Raw genomic sequence first — 24,221 nt, forward strand, 5'->3', positions numbered from 1 at the left:
AAAATAAAAAACAAAAAATAACATGAAACAAAACAAAAAGTTTAGAAAATAAAAAATAAGGGGGCGACTCTTTTTAACTCTGGAGTTGGAGAATTTCCAAATGGAAAAATAAGATATGCATATCAAGGAAAGCTAAAACCTTCTATTGAATGCATGGAGATAGGATAGGCATTCACTGAGTTAATATGCTGTGGCCTACTAGTCTTTGCCACATTCTCTATGTCACCATCAACTTTCTCAGGCCAAGTAAATGCACCTCGTCTACTTGATTTCTGCCTTTTCTTGAATTCAACAGCAGGTGATTGACAGGGTAAAACTGTTGTTTCTTCTCAACTTTCTGCCCTGTTTTTTGTCTGAGGTACTACAACTAAAGAAAAATAACAGGTTATAGAAAAAGGAGCAGTTATTTTTAAAACCACCAACACAAATCTTTGGAATAAGGTGCTGTACACTAGGAATAGTTGTTTAAGGCTGTCTTTAGAATACGGTGAATTTGAAATCTGAACCTGCTTTTTCTATAACACAAGATATACATTAAGTTTCTTCTCTCAAACCCAAAACTAAGGTGGCTACTATTACAAAATAATAAAATGACCTTAACCTCTGGCACAGAATAATTAATAATCATAACAAACTCAGGCACTGACAGTAAACTTAATGGTATCTCCAGGGAAGCAAGTTTTCATTTGTGGTAATGACAAGATGGCTTTCTCCCAAATTCTTGGTGTTTATTAGAATTAAAGCTGTTCTAGAAAAAGGAGACACAGTTGACACTCTGAAAGATCCCTTATGTTGGGCATCAAATGCTGAAATTAGCTCAATTACCCTGAGAATCTTGATTCAGGGTTTTAAAATAGTTAAAATAACATTCTAATTCAGTTAAAACATGAATTAGAATAATTTTTAAGCCGGCATTTAAAAGAAAGTAAAAGCTTTAACTTTCCAAATTTTAAAGTTGAATTTTTTTTTTTTTTTTGAGACGGAGTCTCACGCTGTCCCCCAGGCTAGAGTGCACTTCCGCAATCTCGGCTCACTGCAACCTCCGCCTCCCTAGTTCAAGCGATTCTCTTGCCTCAGCCTCCCAAGTAGCTGGGACTACAGGTGCCCGCCACCATGCCCAGCTAAATTTTTGTATTTTTAATGGAGGCGGGGTTTCACTATGTTGGCCAGGCTGGTCTCAAACTCCTGACCTTGTGATCCACCTGCCTCGGTCTCCCAAAGTGCTGGAAAATTTTTATTAACTTAATTTTTAATTCACTTTAAACGATGAAATCAAGCATTCTCTTGTACTTTAATCTATATATATATATATATATATATATATATATATATAACAAAAGAGTAACCAAAGACATTGACTGAGTGCTCACTTTGTGCTAAACATTTTGCTCATTGCCTTAGATGCTTTATCTCAATCTTTACAACAACCCTGAGGCAGGCATGATTTAGAGAGGAGCAAACTGGGAGTTGAAGAGGTTAAAGTTTTTGTCGTAGCCCATCCTGCTGGCAAGTGCCACCATCCAGATCTGAACCCAAACCTGACCCCGGGGCCAAGCACGGTTACTAGTGTGCTCTACACTAAACACCAAAGTACTTCACACTTGGTCCCATGCAGTGTGGGGTGAGAGTAGCAGGGGTTACTAAAATCTAAGAAAATTTTGAAATTTAAATGCAGTGTCCTTTATAGAATGTCAAATTAAACACATATTTCTTTTAACTCTGAAATTACATCAGAGATAATTAGGAAAATATTTGTCAGTCTTTAGTTATTGATTGAAATAAGGATTGGATAAGAAAGATGGAAAGGTCAAGGGTAATTCCCAATTTAAGCTGAGATAATTTGACTAATGACCATGAATGCAGTTAAAGACGTAAAGAAGAATTGATTTAAGGGGAAAAATGAATTCTGCTTTATACCGGTTGAACTAAAAATGAGAAGAGTAAATAAATTAGTGTTTATTGAGTCTCTATTACATGTCAAGAGCTACACTGAGCACATTACATACACAATTTTTAAAAATCCTAATAAAAATCTATAAACATATTATTAAATCCATATGACAAAAGATGATACAAGGCTCTAAGACGTTAAGAAACCAACCCAAGGTCAGATTGCTAATAAGTGGTACAACCAGGATTTAAATCTAGATCTGACCAAGTCTAACATGTGCACATTAATCTACATGCCTACAATGTCATCAGCAAAGGCAGAAAACATTTAAATGAAAAAAATCTAAAGGGCAGGTATCAATTCACAACATTTTGAAAAAGCAAAATCTAGAAGAGTTTCTTCAATCATATATGAGCATATTTAATGATTAGTTAATTCAAATACCCTATCATTGAAAGTGAAAAACATTTCCATAGAATCATTTACCTGGCCAGAGTTGGAGTAAGTAATGAAGAACTTCAATGTGTTTTTTAAAATCCAAAGCACTTGCAAGTTCTTCTGAATCAGTAAAGACTCTGTTGTTATGGGTGGAAGGCTCTTGCCTCTGACTTAATAATACTGGTCCAAAGCACACAGCCAAATTCTGGCACGTCATCTTATTCACTTCATGATAGGAAGCCACCAATTTCAAATGATCCAACAACATCTTTAGGGTTGCCTAAATTAAATTAAATTTCAATTAATATAGTCATAAAGAGGCAAATTCAAGGACACAATTTATAGCAGGAAATACAGATAAGCATCTTGTCACTTTTAAAAGGATTTTTTTTAAAGATTTGCGTATAAATTGGATGTTTGGAACCTAGAACATAGTTTCTAATAGAAACATTATATGGGGCCTAAATTATGTTCCAGCCGGGCACAGTGGCTCATGCCTGTAATCCTAGCACTCTGGGAGGCTGAGGCAGGAGGATCACCTGAGGTCAGGAATTCAAGACCAGCCTGGCCAACATGGTGAAACCTCATCTCTACTAAAATAGAAAAATTAGCCGGGCATGATGGCGGGTGCCTACGATCCCGGCTACTCGGGAGGCTGAGATGGGAGAATCGCTGGAACCCAGGAGATGGTGGTTGCAGTCAGCTGAGACTATACCCCTGCACTCCAGCCTGGGTGGCTGAACGAGACCCTGTCAAAAAAAAATTATGTTCCAACAACACAATTTAATCCATTAAATGGTTAAAATATACATTCTTTATAAAATACTTATGAATGCATTCCAAATTTCAGCTGGAATCCCTGGGAAAATGCGTCCATTACCTCTTTCTCTTCTAACATGGCAACAGCAAAGGCTGTGATGAAAAGGGGATTAGGGTAAGAATGTTCATTTTTAAGTACAGATAAGTCCTGTAGTTGTAAGTTGTAATCACTATCATGCTTAAATCTAGGAAGCTAACCATTCCGGAACATGGCCAGGTTCTATAATGATTTGGATTATGAAAGACATGTTTAAAAGGCCAATATGCTTCTTAACTAATATACATATAAATAAATAAATAAATATATATATGTGGTAAATAAACCTTAAAAAGAAGAATAGTACAGTTAGAAATGAAAGAAAAAAATTACCAAAAAAAATATTTTTTAATCCTTAAAGAAACTAGTAAGGGGAGTTGGCTCAAAAAGTGGAATGGTTATTTAGGTTTCAACAGTTATGGAAAGAAATGATGTTTTTTGATGTAGTGGCATAGGATCAATCATTTAACAAAATGAGTAATTTTTTCTTCAAAACTGTATTGAAGACATTGATGCCAATTAAAAACTTTAATTTTTTTTTTTTTTTTTTTTTTTTTGGAGACAGGGTCTCACTCTGTTGCCGAGGCTGGAGTACAGTAGCATGATCACAGCTCACTGCAGCACCGACCTTCCTGGCTCAAGCAATCTTTCCACCCCAGCCTCCCAAGTAGCTCGGGCTACAGGCATGCGACACCATACCCACTAATTTTTAAAAATTTTTTTGTAGGCCAGGCATGTGGCTCTTGCCTGTAATCCCAGCACTTTGGGAGGCCAAGGCAGGTGAATCATCTGAGGTCAGAAGTTCAAGACCAGCCTGGTCAACATGGGAAACCCCGACTCTACTGAAAATACAAAAAAATAGCTGGTGTGGTGGTGCACACCTGTAATCCCAGCTACTCAGGAAGCTGAGGCAGAAGGATCACTTATTCTGGGAGGCAGAGGTTTCAGTGAGCCAAGATTGTGCCACTGTACTCCAGCGTGGGTGACAGAGCAAGACTCCGTCTCAAAAAAAAAAAAAATTTTTTTTTTTTTGTAGAGACAGGGTCTTGCTATGTTGTCTAAGCTGGTAAAAATCTTATTTAAAGAAAAATCAAAATAACATTATTTCTGGAGCCAAAAGCGACAAATGGATTTGCTGGTCAGAAGGCCATTTAATAGCTGTGGCAAGAACAAGTCCAGCAAGATGAGGTAGGAAGCCAGATTACAATGTGCTGAGTAGTAAATGAGTGATGAAGAAGTGATAACAGCTGGAATAAATAGCCCTTCAATGTTTGGCTATGAAGGGAAGGAATGAAGAGAGAATGAAAACTAGAGAAGAATATGGCATTTTAAATCAAAACAAGTCAAATATATGAATCATATTTCTTTTTTAAATTCATAATTATTTCCTAACACAACTCCATATACATTGGCCTCTTAAGGGTATTTCCAGCAATAATTGTGATCATACACACACACAGACACAAACAACACACTACACCTGGTTAAATATATGTTCAATCTCAATAGCAAGCAAAGGAATGCAAATTTTTTTTGACTACTAAATAAGATAAGCCAAAAAATGTAATTGTCATGTTCCTTTTGAAAATTAGTCTGGCTGGGCGTGGTGGTTCATGCCTATAATCCCAGCACTTTGGGAGGTCGAGGCGGGTAGATTGCTTGAGCTCAGGAGTTCGAGACTAGCCTGGGCAACACGGTGAAACCCAGTGTCTACAAAACATACAAAAAAAATTAGTTGAGGGTGACGGCACATGCCTGAAGTCCCAGCTACTTGGGGGGCTGAGGCAGGAGGATGGCGTGAGCCGGGGAGGTTGAGGCTGCAGTGAGCTGTGTTTGCACCACCGCACTCCAGCCTGAGAGACAAAGTGAGACCCTGTCTCAAAAAAAAAAAAAAAAACCAGAAAAAAAAAGAAGAAAATTAGTATGCAAACATATAAGGGCCTTAAAATGTTCATATTATTTAAATAAGCAATTCCACTTCTGAGACTCTATTCTAAATAATTCTAAATTAAAAATAAATCTGTGTACAAATATTTACAAATCACTCAAAATCTAAATATACAAAAGGGAATACTGATAAATTATGTTGTCAAATCCACTCAATGGTATATCACACAGTTATTGACTGATTGACTGACTGAGACAAAGTCTGGCTCTATTGCCCAGGCTGGAATGCAGTGGCATGATCTCGGCTCACTGTAGCCCTCCCTGGGCTCAAGCCATCCTTTTACCTCAGCCTCCCAAGTAGCTGGGACCCTAGGCACGTGCCACCATGCCCGGCTAATTTTTGTAATTTTTGTAGAGACGGTTTCGCCATACAGCCCAGGCTTACTCAGTCTTTTTAGAAAGGATGGTAATAGCATGGGCCTTAGAGTCAGAAAGACTTATAGTGTGATAGACTATTTAATATTCACAGAAGTATGTAACTTTCGGCAAGTGATTTAAATTCCCTAACAGGCAGTTCTTCACTTATAAGTGGCACTTATAATTTTACCTAGTGCTGGGCATGGTGGCTCACACCTGTAATCACAGTACTTTGAGAGGCCAAGGTGGGCAGATCACTGGAGGTCAGGAGTTTGGGACCAGCCTGGCCAACATGGTGAAACCCCGTCTCTACTGAAAATACAAAAATAAGTCGGGCATGGTGGCGCCCACCTGTAGTCTCAGCTACTCAGGAGGCTGAGGTAGGAGAATTGCTTGAACCTGTAAAGGTGGAGGTTGCAGTGAGCTGAGATCGCACCACTGCACTCAAGCCCGGGCAACAGAGTGAGACTCCTTCTTCAAAAAAAAAAAAAAAATTTTACCTAGTGTTGGGAAACCAGTATCTCTACTTTTTCCACCCACCCCCTTAAACTTCACCCCACCCTTGTGCTTCTGCACTCTTTAGCTGTTCCCTTCCCCTAATCCAAAGGAGGAGTAACTGTTAATCCAACTGGACAGAGCACAGGACATTCAGGGGACCACAGTAAACTCGCAAGTCAAGTTACTGGACTTACAGTTTCTACCCACTAATTCTTGCTCTTTCTGCCCCAACATGATAAAAAATGTAGGCAAATTTAGCCTCATCTAGACAAGCCCAGTCATACATTTCTCCTATTTTCCCTTCTATTCTAAGGAACAACAGATAAAGTTAGGCTAAGGCTGGTTCTGAAGACCTACCTATCCTTCTCTCTCTCTCCTACAGGCATAGCTGAGGATGCTGGTCTGAAGATTTTGGAGAGGGGGTGAATGGAAAGGATAAGGAGGAAAAAACGAGGGGAGGGGCTTTTGTTTGTCTTAAAGTTAAGCCATGTACACCAACACAGTTGTTGTATCTAAAAAATACTAAAAGGAGACACACCAAAATGTTAATTATAGCTGCCTCTGGATATTGATGATTGCAATTTTATATTCTTCTTTTCTGTATCTTTTCAATATTTCTATAATGAACAAATATTATTGTAATAATATTTTAACAATACAATTAAAAAAACTTCAGTGAGTATTCATGCTTGGGCTAAAATCACATATAGAAAAGATAAAACTGTTTTCTAGATTTATTCTGTTTAAGAAGCTTTTACAGACTTAGGCTGTTTAAAGGCAGTAATGGCAGAGCTTTTAAATCCATGAGTGCCACAAATGTCAAATATCTAAAATTATTTGTAGCTCTGGAGGTAGGTATACAGTTCATTAACTGGCTTTCAGGAAAAATGTATACTGGTAATGCTTACCTTCTCAATCTCTGGCAGACAATCCAGCAGGTCAACAGTGTACTTAGAGTCACCTGGGTCATTCTCACAACCATTTGATGACATTTTCAAAGGACTTTTTGCCATTGCATCTAATACAGCCTCATAAAGCTGCTTTGTTATCAGAGGAGAAGGGAGTTCTCTTAAATAATCCTTAAGAACACCTTTAAAAAACAAACCGCAGACAGTTGGTGATTGGACTGCAGAGTGAAATAAAGAACTATGGTCAATTTTTTAAAATTTAAGTATTATAGCCAACTTTCAACATTTTGAAAACAATAAAGGCAACAACATAAAAAGAATTATAAAATACTAGCATTTTGTATTCTTTTAAGTTGCCTTGGTAATTGACTTGTTTTGAAAGCATGCTAAAAATGTACACATAATTTTCAGTTACCACACGTTAGGTTTGTTAATCATAAAGTAAGCTATTCTTGATACATATACCCTTATTGATTCTGCCCCCTATAAAAAGCTTCTCTAAATGCATGTGAAACAGAAGTTAAGAAAGCAAGGCATATTTATGTTAATTATGAATTATTCCAATTACACAAATTTTGAGTTTCTAGACTTTAAATTGATAATGAAAGAGTACCAATTGTCTGAAACCCTTGGAAATAAATACATTTCCTCTTTAACACTGGAGAAATGTCTTAAACCGATATATTGGATGGCTGGATAATTGCTAATGCTACACTATCATATGCAAGAAAAAATCATTCCTAAAACCAAACAAATAAAACCAAAAGCTAAGAACAGAAAACATCAGACGTGTCACTATAATGGGAATGAGGAAAGTCAATTGCAAACATTCCACACGTAGTTTTGAACTAAGAAATATTACTTATAGTAGAGGAAACTGGAAAGAATAGTGGTTGTTATATATAAGTAAGGTAGGTAAGATACAAGCTAAAGGCTGGCATGTGATCACAAAGGAAAACAGGAGATACTCCTAACACCAAAACCTAAATATATACAATATTGATCCAGAACATGCTCTCAGCCTTGCTTAGTTTGAACTTAAACATGATTCTATACGAAGCTTCCCATCTCTTTTTTTTTTTTTTTTTTAATTGTGACAGGGTCTCGCTCCATCACCCAGGCTGGAGTACACTGGTAACCTCAAACTCCTAGGCTCAAGCAATCCTCCCACCTCAGCCTCTTAAGCAGCTAGGACTACAGGTGGTTGCCCCCACACCTGGCTAATTTTCTTATTTTTTGTAGATCAGTGTCTCACTATACTTCCCAGGTTAGACTTGAATTGCTGGCCTCAAGTGATCCTCCCACCTTATTCTCCCAGAGTACCTGGCATGAGACACTGTGCCTGGCCCCAAGTTTTAAATATTTAATAGTAACATGATTCATTAGTTTCTTATGCATCCTTCTAATGTTTATGCAAATATAAATATGATTTGTCTCCCTCATTGAGAGTTGAGTATCCTTAGTTTAAAAATCCAAAATGCTCTAAAATCCAAAACTTTTAAAATGCCAACATGATGCTCAAAGGAATGCTCATTAGAGCATTCTGGATTTTTGATTTTTGGATTAGGCATGCTAAACTGGTACACATAATGCAAATATTCCAAAACCCAAAGAAATCAGAAATAAGAAACCTGCATATGCTATTTTGTTTCTTGCTTTTTCATTTAACATCATATCCTTGAGATCTTTTCAGGCCATAGAGAGCTTCCTTAATCACTTTTATAGCCACATTATAGTAGTTCAATGTAAGGATGTCCCATAGTCTTATCTATTCAGTCTCTTACAGATGGATACTAGAATTGTTTCTTATCTTTTGTTTTTCCAAAACATGCTACAATTAATAACCTTGCACACAATCACTTTGTATATATGCAGGTATGTCTGTAGGATAAATTCTTAAAACAGGACTGCTAAGTAAAAAATGCATTTGCAATTTTGAGGAAAAAAGAGGAATAAGAATGTTTCTTTCCTAGGCTTGGAACTTGAGTATCTAGGTGGATACTAGTGACACTATTTCAAATAGAGAACGCAGGAGGAAAATCATGTTTTAGGGGGTAAAGAGAAGAGTTTCATTTTGAACATATGGAGCTTAAGGTATCTATGGGGCATTCAAGGCTGCTGGATATAAAAATCTGAGATGAAAGAGATGACTGGAGACACAGATTTAAGAATGATCAACTTAAAGATAACTGGATCTTGGGAATGATTATCAGGGAGACATACAGAGTGATTAAGAGAAGGCTCAGAAAATAACCCTGAAGAACATCAACTTTCCAGGGGTCATCAGGGAAGAGGATCTTCCAGTTGTGACTAAGGAAGAATGGCAAAAGATGTATGTATGGTGAGAGGAGGTGGGGATGGGGCGAGAGGAGAGTGGCAAAAGTGAGGCCAAGTCGAGGAAAAATGTTTCAAGAAAGAGTCTATGATATCTAATGATACCCAAACAATAGTTGGGTTAGATAAGAATAGTGTTAAATATTGCAGAGAACAGTGTTTTTTCAAAATTGGCTGCACACTGAGGCTTTAAAAAAAATTAGATTCTGGAGCCCCATGCCAGCCATACTAAATCATAATGTACAGAGGTCAGAGCTCCTGTCCCAGTATTTTTAACAAATTTGTCTTATGTTTAGACAATGGGGTTTTGTAACCAGGTATAGAAAATAATGATCTAGAGACAATTTAAGAACCCAAAAATGTCCACCAGAAAAGGAAGTCAGCAACCTTGGCAAGCACAGTTTCAGGAAAATAAAGGACACTGAACTCAAGTTGCAGTTGGTTAGGAAGTAAATGGGCATTAAAGAAATAGACAAAGAAATGCACACAACCTGTTCAAGAAATCTGGCTTTGAGAAAAGTAGATAACCACAGAGAAGAGGGGAGGGCGGGGGAGAAACAAGATCAAAGTGGAGATTTTTCTTTAAAAACAGGAGACACCTAAACATTTCAATGGTAATGTAAAGGAGATAGTAAAAAAGGTTTTCAAGGTTCAGGAGAGAGGAAATATGATCAATTGAGCAAAGTCCCTAAGAAGAAAGAAGAAACTTCTGAGTACACATGAAGGAATTAGAATTTGTCCAAGATGTAAGGAAGATCATTTCTCTATTATTACAGAAAGGAAGTGGAAAGAATGTATGCCAAAGAAGGCACATTGATAGGCTGGGTCACAAGAAGTAGAGCAAGTTCCCATCTGATGGCTTCTGTTTTCTCTGTGAAGTTAGGAGGCAAGGTCGTCTGCTAAGAGTGACATGGGTGAAATGAGGTTTGAGGGGAGTGAGAAGATATTAAGTAGACACTCCAGAGTATAAGAGAGCTGATAGGAAAACATACAATTATTAGGCACCATTCACAGCCTTCTAATGACTTTGAAGTACATGGATTAATACTGATACCAAATAATATTGATTTTTTTTTTCTCATTGCAATCAGTAACCCAGATACAGGCTAGAAAGGCAGACCAGTGTTTCTAGGCAAGATGGAGCAATAGGGACTAGATTTACCTTCCTGCTTGCAACAACTGAAAATGCCAGACAAAATATCTGACAATACTATGTCTAAGACATTGGACATCAGGCAAAGGACAAGGATCCCTGAGAGATGGGAACCAAATGAAGTGTGCCCACAACAACCACAGCTTATTGCCTGGAGAGACTTTGCAGGTCGCAGTAAGGAAATGAAAACCCAGGTAAAGCCCGACAGTTGAAGGGGAGCTAGAAATTCAAGGAGGCTAAAGCTGCTAGACCTTGCAGGACAGAGCACTTGAGAGTAAAGGGCTGCCTAGACATGACTCAGGAAATCAGCAAGGAGTCCCAAGTGTTCATCTGAGTACTAATCAGCACACGCAGGTGGGGCAACTCCCCAAGGCTGGAGAAAGAACCAGCCAAACAGATTAGAGAGAACAATTCTTGGAGTTTTCATAGTGTGGGCAATCACTCTCGTTCCATGCAGCCAGAGTGGAAAACTTCATAATTCATGGGATATGGGTACAGCACTATGTTGAATTGTGGCCCCCACCCCCAACCAAAAATAAAACATGTTGAAGTCTGAACTCCTAGTACCTCAGAATAGGACCTTATTTGGAAAGAGTCTTTACAGAGGTAATCAAGTTAAATGAGGTCACTAGGGTGGGCCCTACTCCAATATGACATGTTCTTATAAAATGGGGGACACAGAGAGAGAGCAGATGATATGAAGAAACACAGGGAGAATGCCATGTGAAGATAGAGTATTGGAGTTATGCATCTACAGGCAAAGAAAGGGCTGTCAAAGGTTGCCAGCAAACCACCAGAACTAGGAAGATGCAAGGAAGGATTCCCCTGCAGGTATCAGGGGGAGCAGGGCCCTGCTAATGCTGATTCTGAACTTCCAGCCTCCAGAACTGTGAGAAAATACATTTCTGTTGTTTTAGCCACCAAGTTTGTGGTACTTTGTTATGGCAGCCATAGAAAGCTAATATAAGTACACAGTATATAGCAGAGTTTTGCTTCAGTAGAGAATCAAAGAAATAGACAAAGAAGAGCCTTATTTAAAAGCAGTTCACATTCTGCCTAATAAAGCTTAAAAGCAAGACTAAAAAAACTCTTTGCAAGTAACGTACTTGCATACCAAACAACAGAAATATCCAGCACCCAAGAAGGTAAAATTTACATTTGATGTCCAGTAAAAAATTACGAGGCATATAAAGGAGGAGGCAAATATAACCTATAATGAGGAGTAAAATCAATGGAAACCAACCCAGAAAAGACATACACAATAGAATTAGTAGACAAGAACATGAAAACACTTATTATAACTGTATTTCATATGTTCAAGAAGCTAGAATAAAGACTGAACATATTAAGTAGAGACATGGAAAATACTGAAAAACCCATATCGAACTTCTAGTAGTGAAAATTAGGGTGTCTGAAACTAAAAATGCAATGAATGAAATTAATATCAGAAGACAAGACTAATATAACTTGAAGATACAGCAATAGAAACAATCTAAAATGAAACGAAGTATGGAAAAAGCTGAAAAAAAAATACATTATCAGTGAGCTGTCACATAACGTAAAATGGCCTAAGACATGCTTAATTGTAATCTTCAAAGGCAAAGTAGTGGCAGTGGGTAGGTGGGGTGGAAACAAAAACAGTTTGAAGAAAAAATAGAGAAAAACTACAATTATAGTTGAAGATTTCAACACGCCTCTCAGTGAGTAGAAAGAAAACAAAGATGTAGAAGACAGGGACATTATTAATTAACTTGACTTTATTGATAGTTACAGCACAATTTATTAATTAACTTGACTTTATTGATAGTTACAGCACAATCTGTCCAAAACCACCAGAATATACATTCTTTTCAAGAGCTCAAATGGAACATTTACCACAAAAGACCATATTCTGGGCTTCAAAATAAGCCTAAATAAATACAAAAGCATTTAGGACCTATGAATCAGAAGACTGAATATGCACATATACAAAATGAGAATCATTCTCTCACATACAAAACTTATATAGGTAGTAAAGATACAGTTGATTAGGTAGATTTGAATGTTGAATCACTGACATTTCCTGAAGGTAGAGCTACAAATTACTTTTTTAAATCCACTAACCCACCCCCACCTTACCTCACTTACTCTTTTTGGCCTTACCACCTACTTTAGTCATACCCTATACATGTTACTCAGACCAAATGGCTCTCATAAACAATCTCAGTATATGTGGGTTGCTAAGTCTATGACCATTCCTCAACATTTAGCATTCCTTGGTGCTTGCACAGTTTTGACATCTACATGCAATCTAGGTAAAGGAAAACGGAAACAATTTGTGAGTTAATGTTCCAGAGGTCAGAGAACATATAATATGTATGGTAAGAAAATGTATAGTATGTACAAAAAAGATAAATATTAATGTTTTCAAGATCATTTACTTATATTCTGATAAAGTTTTCCGTGAATGGCAAATAGGACAAAAATGACTATGGTAGGATTAAAATCATAAAAAGGCATGGTCAAATGAACTTTCAGGTACTGAACCTAGATACTGATTATGTAGCACTGACATGAAATCTATTTTACAGTAGTTAGATACATGTAATCCTCATCAGAAGACTTATTTTTAATAATCACTAAACAATAGATGACTTTTAAAAAGCCTTCTGTTCTTTGGTAATAAGCCCTATAAAGAATTATGAATAGGCTGGGCGCAGTGGCTCACGCCTGTAATCCCAGCACTTTGGGAGGCTGAGACGGGAGGATCTCCTGAGTTCAGGAATTCGAGACCACCCTGGGCAACACGGTGAAACCCTGTTTCTACTAAAATACAAAAAACTAGCTGGGCGTAGTGGCGTGTGCCTGTAGTCCCAGCTATTCGGGAGGCTGAGGCACAAGAATTGCTTGAGCCCCAGAGGTGGAGGTTGCACCACTGCACTCCAGCTTGGGCTACAGAGTGAGACTCTTTCTCAAAAAGCAAACAAACAAAAAAGAATTACGAATGGATTTTATACCTAAAATTTTGCACTTGATTTAAAAAAAAACTGGTTCGTCTGGAGTATTTCATTCCATGCTCCAGACAAACCAACTACTAAAAACACATTAAACTGTGAACAAAATCTGTCACTCATTTCATTAATTTCTCATTTTTTAGACCTACTGAACTATTAATCATATTTCAAAGTTTACTCAGAAATGTGAGTTCATGAGGAACAAACACATTAAGCATCACTGTCACTGGCTAACTCCTCAAATCAACAATACCCTTTATTTTTAGCCATGAAAACCTTGTGTCATGCAATTATTTTGCAGACAAATCTTAAATCATTTCATTGCCTTTTTATCAAGAAAAAAATAGTTCTAAATTCTTCTGAAAAACAGCTTTACCCAAATGGAATAGTACAAAGAATTGAGCCAAGAAATATCCAATTTATAAATTACAGAAACTCTCAATTTTAGGAAAGAATGCTGTAAATCCAATATTCATTGACCTATTGTTCATATCTTCTGCATATGCTGCCAATTTCCAAAACTAGGAACCCTTTCTTCACTTCATATTTTAAAATTATACATGTTTAACATAATTTTTATTTATAAGACAAAGCTTCACCAAGACCAAATCTATTTTTATTTATAGAGTGTACTTGCTGGAAATTTGTATTTATAAAACTTCTCTTTCATGGATTCATAAAATGAGTCTTTTGCTGATTTTGTTAATTACACATTAACAAGGAAAGAACATTCTTCAGGTATCTCAATTTTTTGTAGAAATATGCCTCTTCCTATATAAAAATTAAAAGGAACCATTATTTCTGATTTGTTAAAATATGTAAGAAAAAAGTGACAGTTTGTTTTATCTTACTAAAATGCTTGGAATCAAAGTTTTGATTATCCAAGAGTTATATATTAAATACTTGATGAAAATACAGTCATTCAGCACTCAAAGGGTGGGAAGCTCAATTATTCAGAAAGCCTCAATCCTAAAAGTAAGCTTTAAGGATTTTCACCAACAAAATTCTCTTAAATACGTACAAGATGAACCTTCCTCAAATTTTAACCCAAACAATTAATTTTGAGTAAAAATAAGAAAGCAAGTTATAAGAGAAAAATTAACACATTACAGCAAGAAAAAAATGGCAGTTGTCAGTAGAGAGGAGAAAGAACTACCAAAATACACAGAAGATCTGGAGATACACACTGAAGCATCTATAAATGAAAGGATACGTCTGAGATTTTCTCAAAATAATCAAGGGTTGAGAAGAAGCAAATGGGGGGATGAATGAGACAAGTCTGTTCATGTGTTGATATTATGGAAACCAGGTGACAGAGAGGATTTTTCATAGTATTCTCTCTACTTTCGCATATGCTTGAAAATTTCAATAATTAAAAAATTAAAACGACAAAAACAAATATGGAATTATTATAAACCAGTAGCTCCTGAAGGTTACCAATAAGGTTATGAGCCATTTCTTAATGGCCAAATTCAAAGGCCCTTTTCTTTTCTCATATAATCTCTCCATAGAATGACTGTATCACACCTTTGCTTAATCTCTGTTGTCTCTTATTTCCCAAACATTCTGACTCCTTTCCTCTCAATCTCTTTAGGTGTTTCTTCTTTCTTTGCCAGCCTCCAAAGTTTGGAGACCCCCAAAGTTCTTTCTTTTCAAACTTTATGGACAATTGCAACACTTTACTACACATATATGCCAATGACTCTCTTTCCACTCTTATCTTTCAGGGGTAATAGAAGTATATTTCCAATGCCATACATTGAATTACAGTCACCACTTGGGTAAATAAGAGATCCCTCAAATTCTACTGCATCCTCTTCTTAGCTGCAGATGAGCAGTTTCAACTTTGCTTGATCTACCCATTTAGATCTCCTACTAGCACTTCAAATTCTATATATCCAAAGCCCAATTCATAATCTTTCTTGACACTTCCCCACCAAAAGCAGTAGCTCTCCCTGAAGCTCTCTTTTTCTGCTAATGGTACCCAATCAACCATGTCTCAAAGTCATATCTGTCTGGGCTCCTTCTTTCTCCACCTCCTTTCAATTCTACTTCTTCCTATTTCTACTGCTACAAGCCCCTTTAGCTCTTACTACCTCTTTGCCTGGACTACGGCCAAGGCTTTCTAATTGGTTTTCCTTCCTCTGGTCTCTTCTAATTTCAATCCATCACATAGAGTTGCCAGATTAATATTCCTGAAAATAATCTCTATGATATCACTCCCCCACTCAAAAAATCTTAATGGATCCCCTCTGGCTAGTAAATAAATTTAAATTCTCTAACCAGATAGTCAATACGCTCTATATCACCTAAGTACCAGTCAAACTCAACTTCCAAAGCATTTTATTTATCCCTCTATGAAGGTACCTTTTTCTTTCTGCTAGCTACTATAGCTAACTTAAAGTAGGTCTTACTTCCCTTCATCATGTCAGCTGTTTGTGGGCAAGGGACCATAGCTTAATACCTTCCCATAGAAAATAACACAGTAAGTAATGTTTGTGAAGGAAGAAAAGACTTCAGAATAAAAACAAATTAAATTTCAGCTACAAACGTATTTCAGTTATCTTTCTTGCAGATGTAGTCTTTCCAGAAAGAGTACATAAAATAAAATCTATTTATTACCTGTTATTACATTTATATCTGGGTACTGGTTTTCACACAGACCAACAGCTTTGCTATCTCTCTCAAAAGCCTCTCGCAGTTCTTTCTTGACTGCTGCCGAACCACATAATCGATACAGGCCTACTACCTAGGAATAAAATTATGGCCACATTACAGTAAATTTGATAAAGGGAAAATATAATTGCATTATAGATCACATGAACTTTGCAATCAAATATGTTCTGATGTCATTTAATTTTAAATACCTCAAATATAGCTTTTGAAGTCTCATTATATACTATGTTGATTAGTTTAATAAAAATATCCTATTCTTTCATTTAAATTCAAACAATACACTATCAGTTCGGTAATGCTGGCTACCTATCTTAAGCAAAACACAATCCCTTCTTTTCAGTTTTATATGCTCAATAAAGATCTCCATGCCCCAGGAATGTGCGCCCTTTCACATCTTTTGTTCTAGACTGAAGTAGTACAGCACAGACACTGAACAAGGGTTTTGGAGTCATAAAGCCCCACTGCTTGCTTCATGAATTTGGGCAAGTTATTTAATCTCTTTAAAACTCAGTTTCTTTTATCCTTAAAATAAGTATATAGTTGAAATAAGGTTCTAGTATACTATATAAAACTTTTTAAGAAAAAAGATTCTCAGGAAGACCCAGAAGCAAACCTAGGGTGTTTTTTTTTTAAGTTGTCAAATTAATTGATTATAAAGTGATGGAGGAAATTTAAAATAATATATTAAAGGTAAAATAAAACCTCTATTTCAAAATTTATATAAGATGCACAGACACTACCCATCCCACCAACCTACATTGAAAAGATTTGTCTTTAAACACTGTCATACAGGTTCTAAAATATTAAGTCTTAAGTTATTCACTATAAATTTACTTAGAATAAACATGATCTCTGTAAAGAGAAAACACGCCTGATTAAGCTATCAAAGTTCTTTGAAAGAATAAAACTTCAAAAAAACTTGAGGAGAGAATAAGTGATTGTCAGCCATACTTCCACATCTAAGACTATTTAGAAAGCTCAGTCACTTTGAACTGAAGGAAAAATTTTGGAGAAATAAACTATTTAAAGACAGAAATAAAGTAAAAGTAATCTTCCAGGATTTGAATTAGGAATCACTGTAAAATGCAATAAATGATCTAGAGGAAGAAGTATACAAATGAAATTTCCAGGGTTACTTATGATACTAATCTCTTCTGACTCATTAAAAAACTGATAGAATACACTATAAGGTGGGTCTCAATATGAGAAAGTGTCAATAGATACAGGGAAATATTATCTAAAATATTTGAGATGATAAGCTATAGGTATTAATTGAAAGATAGTAAAGAACCTAAAACTATTTCCAAGAGGTGATAATGCAAGGTGCTGCTACATTCAAAAGGATCAAGATAATATGGGAAACCAAGAAATAGGAAAAAAATTCAAATTTCCTACCCTGATCCACATTCATGATGCATTCACATTGAGAATGGAATGAGTTATGCTGATCACATCATCTCAAGAAAGACACAGTAGAAATGTAGACAGTTCAGAAAATGAAACTAAAATATTAAACAGGATCAAAGGAAATGCTACCACAACAGAAGAAACGAACTTGATTATAGCCCTGCTGGTGTGAGCACATTTAAGTGTCATAAAGTACCATACAAACGATGTATCCCCTTAAACTTGAGAAGAAGATGAGCCTAGAACAACTTAAAGGAAGTACTACTTAACTAGTACACAATAAATTAATGGGATATTTTACCCCCAAAAGTTGAAATCACAAATATAATTTTTTAAAAGATGAAATAAAGGAAGGAAGATCTACTACAGGTACTTCAAGGAAAAGATATTTTAGGATATATCCCTACTTTCTGATGATGATATCTTGAATCAAACCCTTGAAGTACATGCTCGATGCCTCTATGAAAGACAGACCATAAGTATGATCTCCATAGCAATTTTTCCCGTTTTAAGCAGGAGATGGGTGGTAGTAGCACTCAAAGCATTTGGAAGATGCAAAGACCCATGCCACAAACTCTTTGTATATGACTATCAAAGCCTATTTTCATGTTTACAATAAAAACCCAATAATACAAGAATAATTCCTGACTAAAAGGGTAAACAAAATTTAAGCAGTATGCCAGTCTGTAAAATACAAGCACAATAAGCCTCTCTCTACTGGGGGTGGGGAAGAGGGGAGGGCAAGTGAGGGAGAAAGAAGCAGGGGAAACAAAACAAAAATGTCTTTAAAAAGTACAGTTCTAGGCCGGACGCGGTGGCTCACACCTGTAATCCCAGCACTTTGGGAGGCCGAGGCAGGCGGATCACAAGGTCAGGAGCTGGAGACTAGCCTGGCTAACATGGTGAAACCCTGTCTCTACTAAAAAAAATACAAAAATTAGCCAGGCATGATGGCGTGCACCTGTAATCCCAGCTAATTGGGAGGCTGAGGCAGAATTGCTTGAACCCAGGAGGCGGAGGCTGCAGTGAGCTGAGACTGCGCCATTGCACTCCAGCCTGGGCGACAGAGCAAGAATCCGTCTCAAAAAAAAAAAAAAATACAGTTCTACATAAAAATGAAAAGCATTGCTAAAAATGTTTTCTTGGCACTTAAAGTGGTAACAGTCTATATATACCTGCTCTTTCTAAATATTTCAGAAAATAGACTGTAAAAATATAGTGCCATTTGAGTTACTTAATATTCAACTATAAAAGTTTGTTTAATAATTAGCTTTTAAGTCTGCATAATTTCTGAACTCTACCCTCACTGCCTGAAAAAAGATAAAAGAAAAAAACAGAATCTTAAGAAAGAAAAATAATTAACCAAAAGTTGGATTGGAAAAGTAAAGGCCTCACTCACACAAAGACAACACAAACTGGAGACAGAATGATGTATCTGAGTTAGAAGTTTCATCCAACCCCACTGGGGGGCCTGAAGAGGGGAAGTTTCAATAGTTGAGATGTGTTATCTCTTAGCTTCAGGAAGCTACTCCATTTTTTTTTTTTTTTTTTTTTTTTTTTTTTGCAACGGAGTCTCACTCTATCGCCCAGGCTAGAATGCAGTGGCACAATCTGGGCTCACTGTAATGTCCACCTCCTGGGTTCAAACAATTCTCCTGCATCAGCCTCCTAAGTAGCTGGGATTACAGGCATGCGCCACCATGTCGGGCTAATTTTTGTATTTTTAGTAGAGACAGTTTTCACTATGTTGGCCAGGCTGGTCTTGAACTCCTGACCTCAGGTGATCTGCCCGCCTTGGCCTCCCAAAGTGCTGGGATTACAGGTGTGAGCCCCCATGCCCAGCCACTCCATCTATTTTTATAGATACAAGCAAGTAAGACCCACAGAGATTAAGTGACTTGCCCAACATGACACAGCTAAGTAATAATGGAGGAGAAACCAGAATCCAGGTATTCTGTATCTTAATGCAAAATTCCATTAACTTAGGCTGTTTCTATAGTTTCCATGTTAAGCTTAAGTTTATTAAATAAATATTTCAGATTTTATAATATTTACTCATTGTCTTTTAACTTAACTTTTCAACCAATATTATAAATTCAGATAGTACTAAAGCAGAAATAACTCAACGTAATTTTTAGTCTTAATATGTATCACAAAAATTAGTATAAAGAATCAATATCCTTTGCCTATGTTATCAGCTCTGACTTTTCCTTTTAATGCCATTTTGAAGCAATCCTGATTTCTAATTATAAGACCCATGAAGCTCTGTGTTGCAATATAAATTTGTGGAATCATCTAGCATGCTCTCAATAATGGACAACATGAGTCAAGTTAAAAATTATACCCTAAACAGTAATGGAATAAAAATAAAGAATAGGAATGGTAAAATATCTAAATTTGATTTTTTTACATTACCTTGAATTTCTTCCCCCAAGACTTACAATTAATCAATCAATAAAGGAAGTAGTAGGGAACCATAGTAAGATAATACCTGACAGCCTCTCTTTTCAATTTCCATAATACATTTCTGTATCAGAAGGGGCACCATCAGTCCTATATTTTCTTTCTCTACAACTTTTTGAATATCAACTCCAAATATTATTGGTTCTTGGTTTATATCTAGTCCATGAAGAGAATTCTCCCACTGTTCCATAAGAGTCACTTTCACATAAATAAGACCTCTAGGTTCAAGTTTGACAGCCAACTGATGAGTCTTTGTCACTCTAAATAAGGTGGGAAGAACAACAGTTCCATGACAACAAACTCGATTTTTTCTTGGAGTGGGTTCCCAACTGAATACTACTAGTTTCAAATGTTGTGCATTTTCAATTTCTATGTTGAAAGTGTGATCCATGTCTAAAAATGTTGTTCGGCATGTGAGCAAAGCTGTTCTTGCTTTGTTTACTGAATCTACCTGAATTGCACAAAAGACGTCTTTTGAATCTATCCGAGGTGGTTTTAAATCCTCAGCACCATAGAAATGTACACTCATGAGCCCAGATATGTACTGTGAACACTTAGGTTGATCAGAAAAGCTATAATGCCTAAAAGCATCAATGTCTATTTCATTCTTGCTACAACTATTTGAAATTATTTCTTTTCCTTTTCCAAATTTGTTTTCAGATCCATGTTTGCTAGCTTTAGTTGTAAGTTCAGGTGAGTCTCCATCACTAAGGTAACCACCTTTGCAGGAATACTTAGAACTCATAGAGTTTTTCTTCTGGTAGCTCTGCTGGGAGGATACACTGGTATCAAGATGGTATCGGCTTATAACATTCCTCTTAGCAGCGGTGGTTGTGTTCCCAGAGGGCAGAATATCAGTATGATGAACTTCTCGGCAGTTATATTTAGACAAAGAAGGAGTATTATCTGGACTGTTTATATAATTCAATGTTCCCTTAACGCTTAGCTTTCGGCTAAATTCTGGCAACTTTTTCATTTTCATGGAAAGTTTCCTCACAGTTCGTGGAGATTTTATTTTATCTGGCAATGACCAATTAATTGAACTGCCTTTTTTCACAGGGCTAGGATTTGGAGAAGATGGTTCCATAATTCCCAATTCAGTACTATTTGTAGCAGCCAGGATCCCAGAACCTTAAAAGAAAGAAAGAAAAATACGTTATAAAGCAATATGTTTTGATTTCTTTTATTCTTATTTTATAAACCATCAACTAAACAGGCTTTCACATAGGCAGAAATTCTTCTCTTATTTCATCTCAATGGGGAGATTTCATTAGAAGTTCAGGTCAACTTCCATCATGATATTCAAGCAGAATACTGCATTATCCCAATTATTTAAAATTTAATTTAATTTTTCATACTTTATTCCTTATAGAGAAAGATCTAATAACCTCACATCAAAAGCTAATGTATGTAACACAACATTTCACAATTAAAATGAGAAAAAGTGTTTATTCATTTTAAAAAACAACAAATGACCTTTCTTTAAAAAGTATTAATATTCTCCCTCCACCCCATGTGTCCTAATGACAAATAAGTAGTTTCTTTATAGAGAAAAAAACTATTTTAAGTATGCCTACAGGGCTTTTCTATTAAGAAGATAATAGAAAATGGAGTGTTTGATAAACTGGATAAAGCATCCCCTTGTACTAAAATTATAGTACAATTCTACTGGCTTACTAGTTTGAAACATTCTAGAGTTAATCGGGGTCCTGCTTCAGTCTATAAACATCAATCTGTCTATTTTATCACAGCCTAGAAAAGCTATCCAGTATATTAAATTGCTTTAGATTAAATACATTATCACATAAAAAAACTGACTCTTTTTACATACTGTAAGTAAATAATTTCTACTGAAGTCCTTAACTAATTATTAAAATGAAATACTGTACATGATAGCAACTTCTACTGCAGATAAAACTGAATTTATTAAAGCCAAAATGCTTTGTTTTTATAAAACCCAAGAGTCAAAATATTACCAAATTCCACAGTCGCTTAAAATTAAACTACAACTATACTAATCAAATCACATACTATCTTTAAAAAGAAGGTACAAAATAAAAATCTTTAAATATAAATTTATGAACTAGGCTAGAGTCGAGTGAAACTGGCACACTCCTTCAGCACCTAGAACAGTAACTGGTACATAGCAGGAACTCAATATTTAGTGAATAAATGAATAACCAATTGTTAGTTGCCTTGTAAACTGGCAAACTTTGTAGAAAATGCAACATAGAAATTAACAATAATAATTACCAGGCATAAACACCAAGTAATGATACTGGTAATTGATCTGAGTGAAGTAAAAAACATTATGAAGATCACTGCAATAGCACTGGAAACAATCTATCAACACCTAACATTAAGGAAACAGTCAAATAGATTAGGGCACATCAACGCAGTTAAATACTGTACTACAATGCTTGAGAAACAATACTACCCTACATGTAACAATGCAAGATGAAGATACCAAGTAAAAACAGCAAAAATCAAAAATAAAGTCCACTATGATTACAACTAGATAAAAGATACATATATATCATGGTGGCTCACTGTTATCCCATTACTTTGGGAGGCTGAGGCAGATAGGAGTTCAAGACCAGCCTGGACAACATGGCAAAACCCCATGTCTACAAAAGATACAAAAAAATTAGCAGGTGTGGTGGTGTGCTATAGTCCCAGCTACTAGGGAAACCGAGGTGGGAAGACTGCTTGAGCTGGGAAGGTCGAGTGTTTCTCAGGCTGGGAGGCTACAGTGAGCCGTGATTGTGCCACTTGCACTCCACCCTGGGAAACACAGAGATACCCCGTCTTAAAAAAAAAAAAAAAGATACATATGTATCTGGGAGTTAATGAGGAAAAAACAAGTCATAATTGCATTAGGATGAATTAGCTTTCCAATTCTCTGATCAAAAATTATTTTGAAATTCAACCATTTTCTTTGCCAATTTCTCAACAGCTTTCTGCCAATACTGCTAAGAAATAGATCACTTTAGGTAACGGTTTTTCCACCAAAATAAAACAACAAAAAAAGATGACTTATAAATAAACTGTCTAAATATTTCCTTTGGTCAATTTAGGATTTTTGACCAAAAAATATTTTAATTATATATTATCATATATTTTACAATATTAAATGTAAATATTTAATATTTATAATATATATTTATATTATTTTATAATTATAAATATATTTTAATTATATATTTATGAGAAGAATGACAGTAAAAAAGGAGATAGTAAAAAAAGCAGATATAGCATACTTTTAAGTTGTGTTTTTAAAAAAATGTCTGTTAGTCTTTCCAGGTTCACAATTTGCCACAAACATTAAAAAAAAAAGTTTACGATATTGATTCTTCCTACCCATGAGCATGGAATGTTCTTCCATTTCTTTGTATCCTCTTTTATTTCATTGAGCAGTGGTTTGTAGTTCTCCTTGAAGAGGTCCTTCACATCCCTTGTAAGTTGGATTCCTAGGTATTTTATTCTCTTTGAGGCAATTGTGAATGGGAGTTCACTCATGATTTGGCTGTTTGTCTGTTATTGGTGTATAAGAATGCTTGTGATTCTGTACATTGATTTTGTATCCTGAGACTTTGCTGAAGTTGCTTATCAGCTTAAGGAGATTTTGGGCTGAGACAATGGGGTTTTCTAGATATACAATCATGTCGTCTGCAAACAGGGACAATTTGACTTCCTCTTTTCCTAATTGAATACCCTTTATTTCCTTCTCCTGCCTAATTGCCCTGGCCAGAACTTCCAACACTGTTGAATAGGAGTGGTGAGAGAGGGCATCCCTGTCTTGTGCCAGTTTTCAAAGGGAATGCTTCCAGTTTTTGCCCATTCAGTATGATATTGGCTGTGGGTTTGTCATAGAGCTCTTATTATTTTGAGATACGTCCCATCAATACCTAATTTATTGAGAGTTTTTAGCATGAAGGGTTGTTGAATTTTGTCAAAGGCCTTTTCTGCATCTATTGAGATAATCATGTGGTTTTTGTCTTTGGTTCTGTTTATATGCTGGATTACATTTATTGATTTGCGTATATTGAACCAGCCTTGCATCCCAGGGATGAAGCCCACTTGATCTTGGTGGATAAGCTTTTTGATGTGCTGCTGGATTCGGTTTGCCAGTATTTTATTGAGCATTTTTGCATCAATGTTCATCAAGGATATTGGTCTAAAATTCTCTTTTTTGGTTGTGTCTCTGCCTGGCTTTGGTATCAGGATGATGCTGGTCTCATAAAATGAGTTAGGGAGGATTCCCTCTTTTTCTATTGATTGGAATAGTTTCAGAAGGAAT

At 36.1% G+C, this 24,221-nt stretch overlaps 1 protein-coding gene across 5 annotated transcripts in view; it reads right to left on the reverse strand.

The window, feature by feature from the left end:
* Positions 1 to 24,221, reverse strand: part of SYDE2 (synapse defective Rho GTPase homolog 2) — a 48,526-nt gene that overhangs the window by 9,658 nt on the left and 14,647 nt on the right. For 3 of the 5 annotated variants that reach the window (XM_017002483.2, NM_032184.2, XM_017002484.3), the window contains exons 3-6: positions 19,950 to 21,052; positions 15,998 to 16,124; positions 6,896 to 7,077; positions 2,378 to 2,609 (exon numbers count right to left, since the gene is read on the reverse strand). In XM_017002483.2, the coding sequence (XP_016857972.2) occupies positions 2,378 to 2,609; positions 6,896 to 7,077; positions 15,998 to 16,124; positions 19,950 to 21,052 (1,644 nt within the window). Of the gene's footprint in view, positions 1 to 2,377; positions 2,610 to 6,895; positions 7,078 to 12,119; positions 14,147 to 15,997; positions 16,125 to 19,949; positions 21,053 to 24,221 lie in introns of those variants that run through there. The other 2 variants (XM_006710946.4, XM_047431920.1) reach the window with 2 other exon arrangements.

This window comes from Homo sapiens, chromosome 1 (genome assembly GCF_000001405.40).
Source record: "Homo sapiens chromosome 1, GRCh38.p14 Primary Assembly".
Classification (NCBI taxonomy): domain Eukaryota; kingdom Metazoa; phylum Chordata; class Mammalia; order Primates; family Hominidae; genus Homo; species Homo sapiens.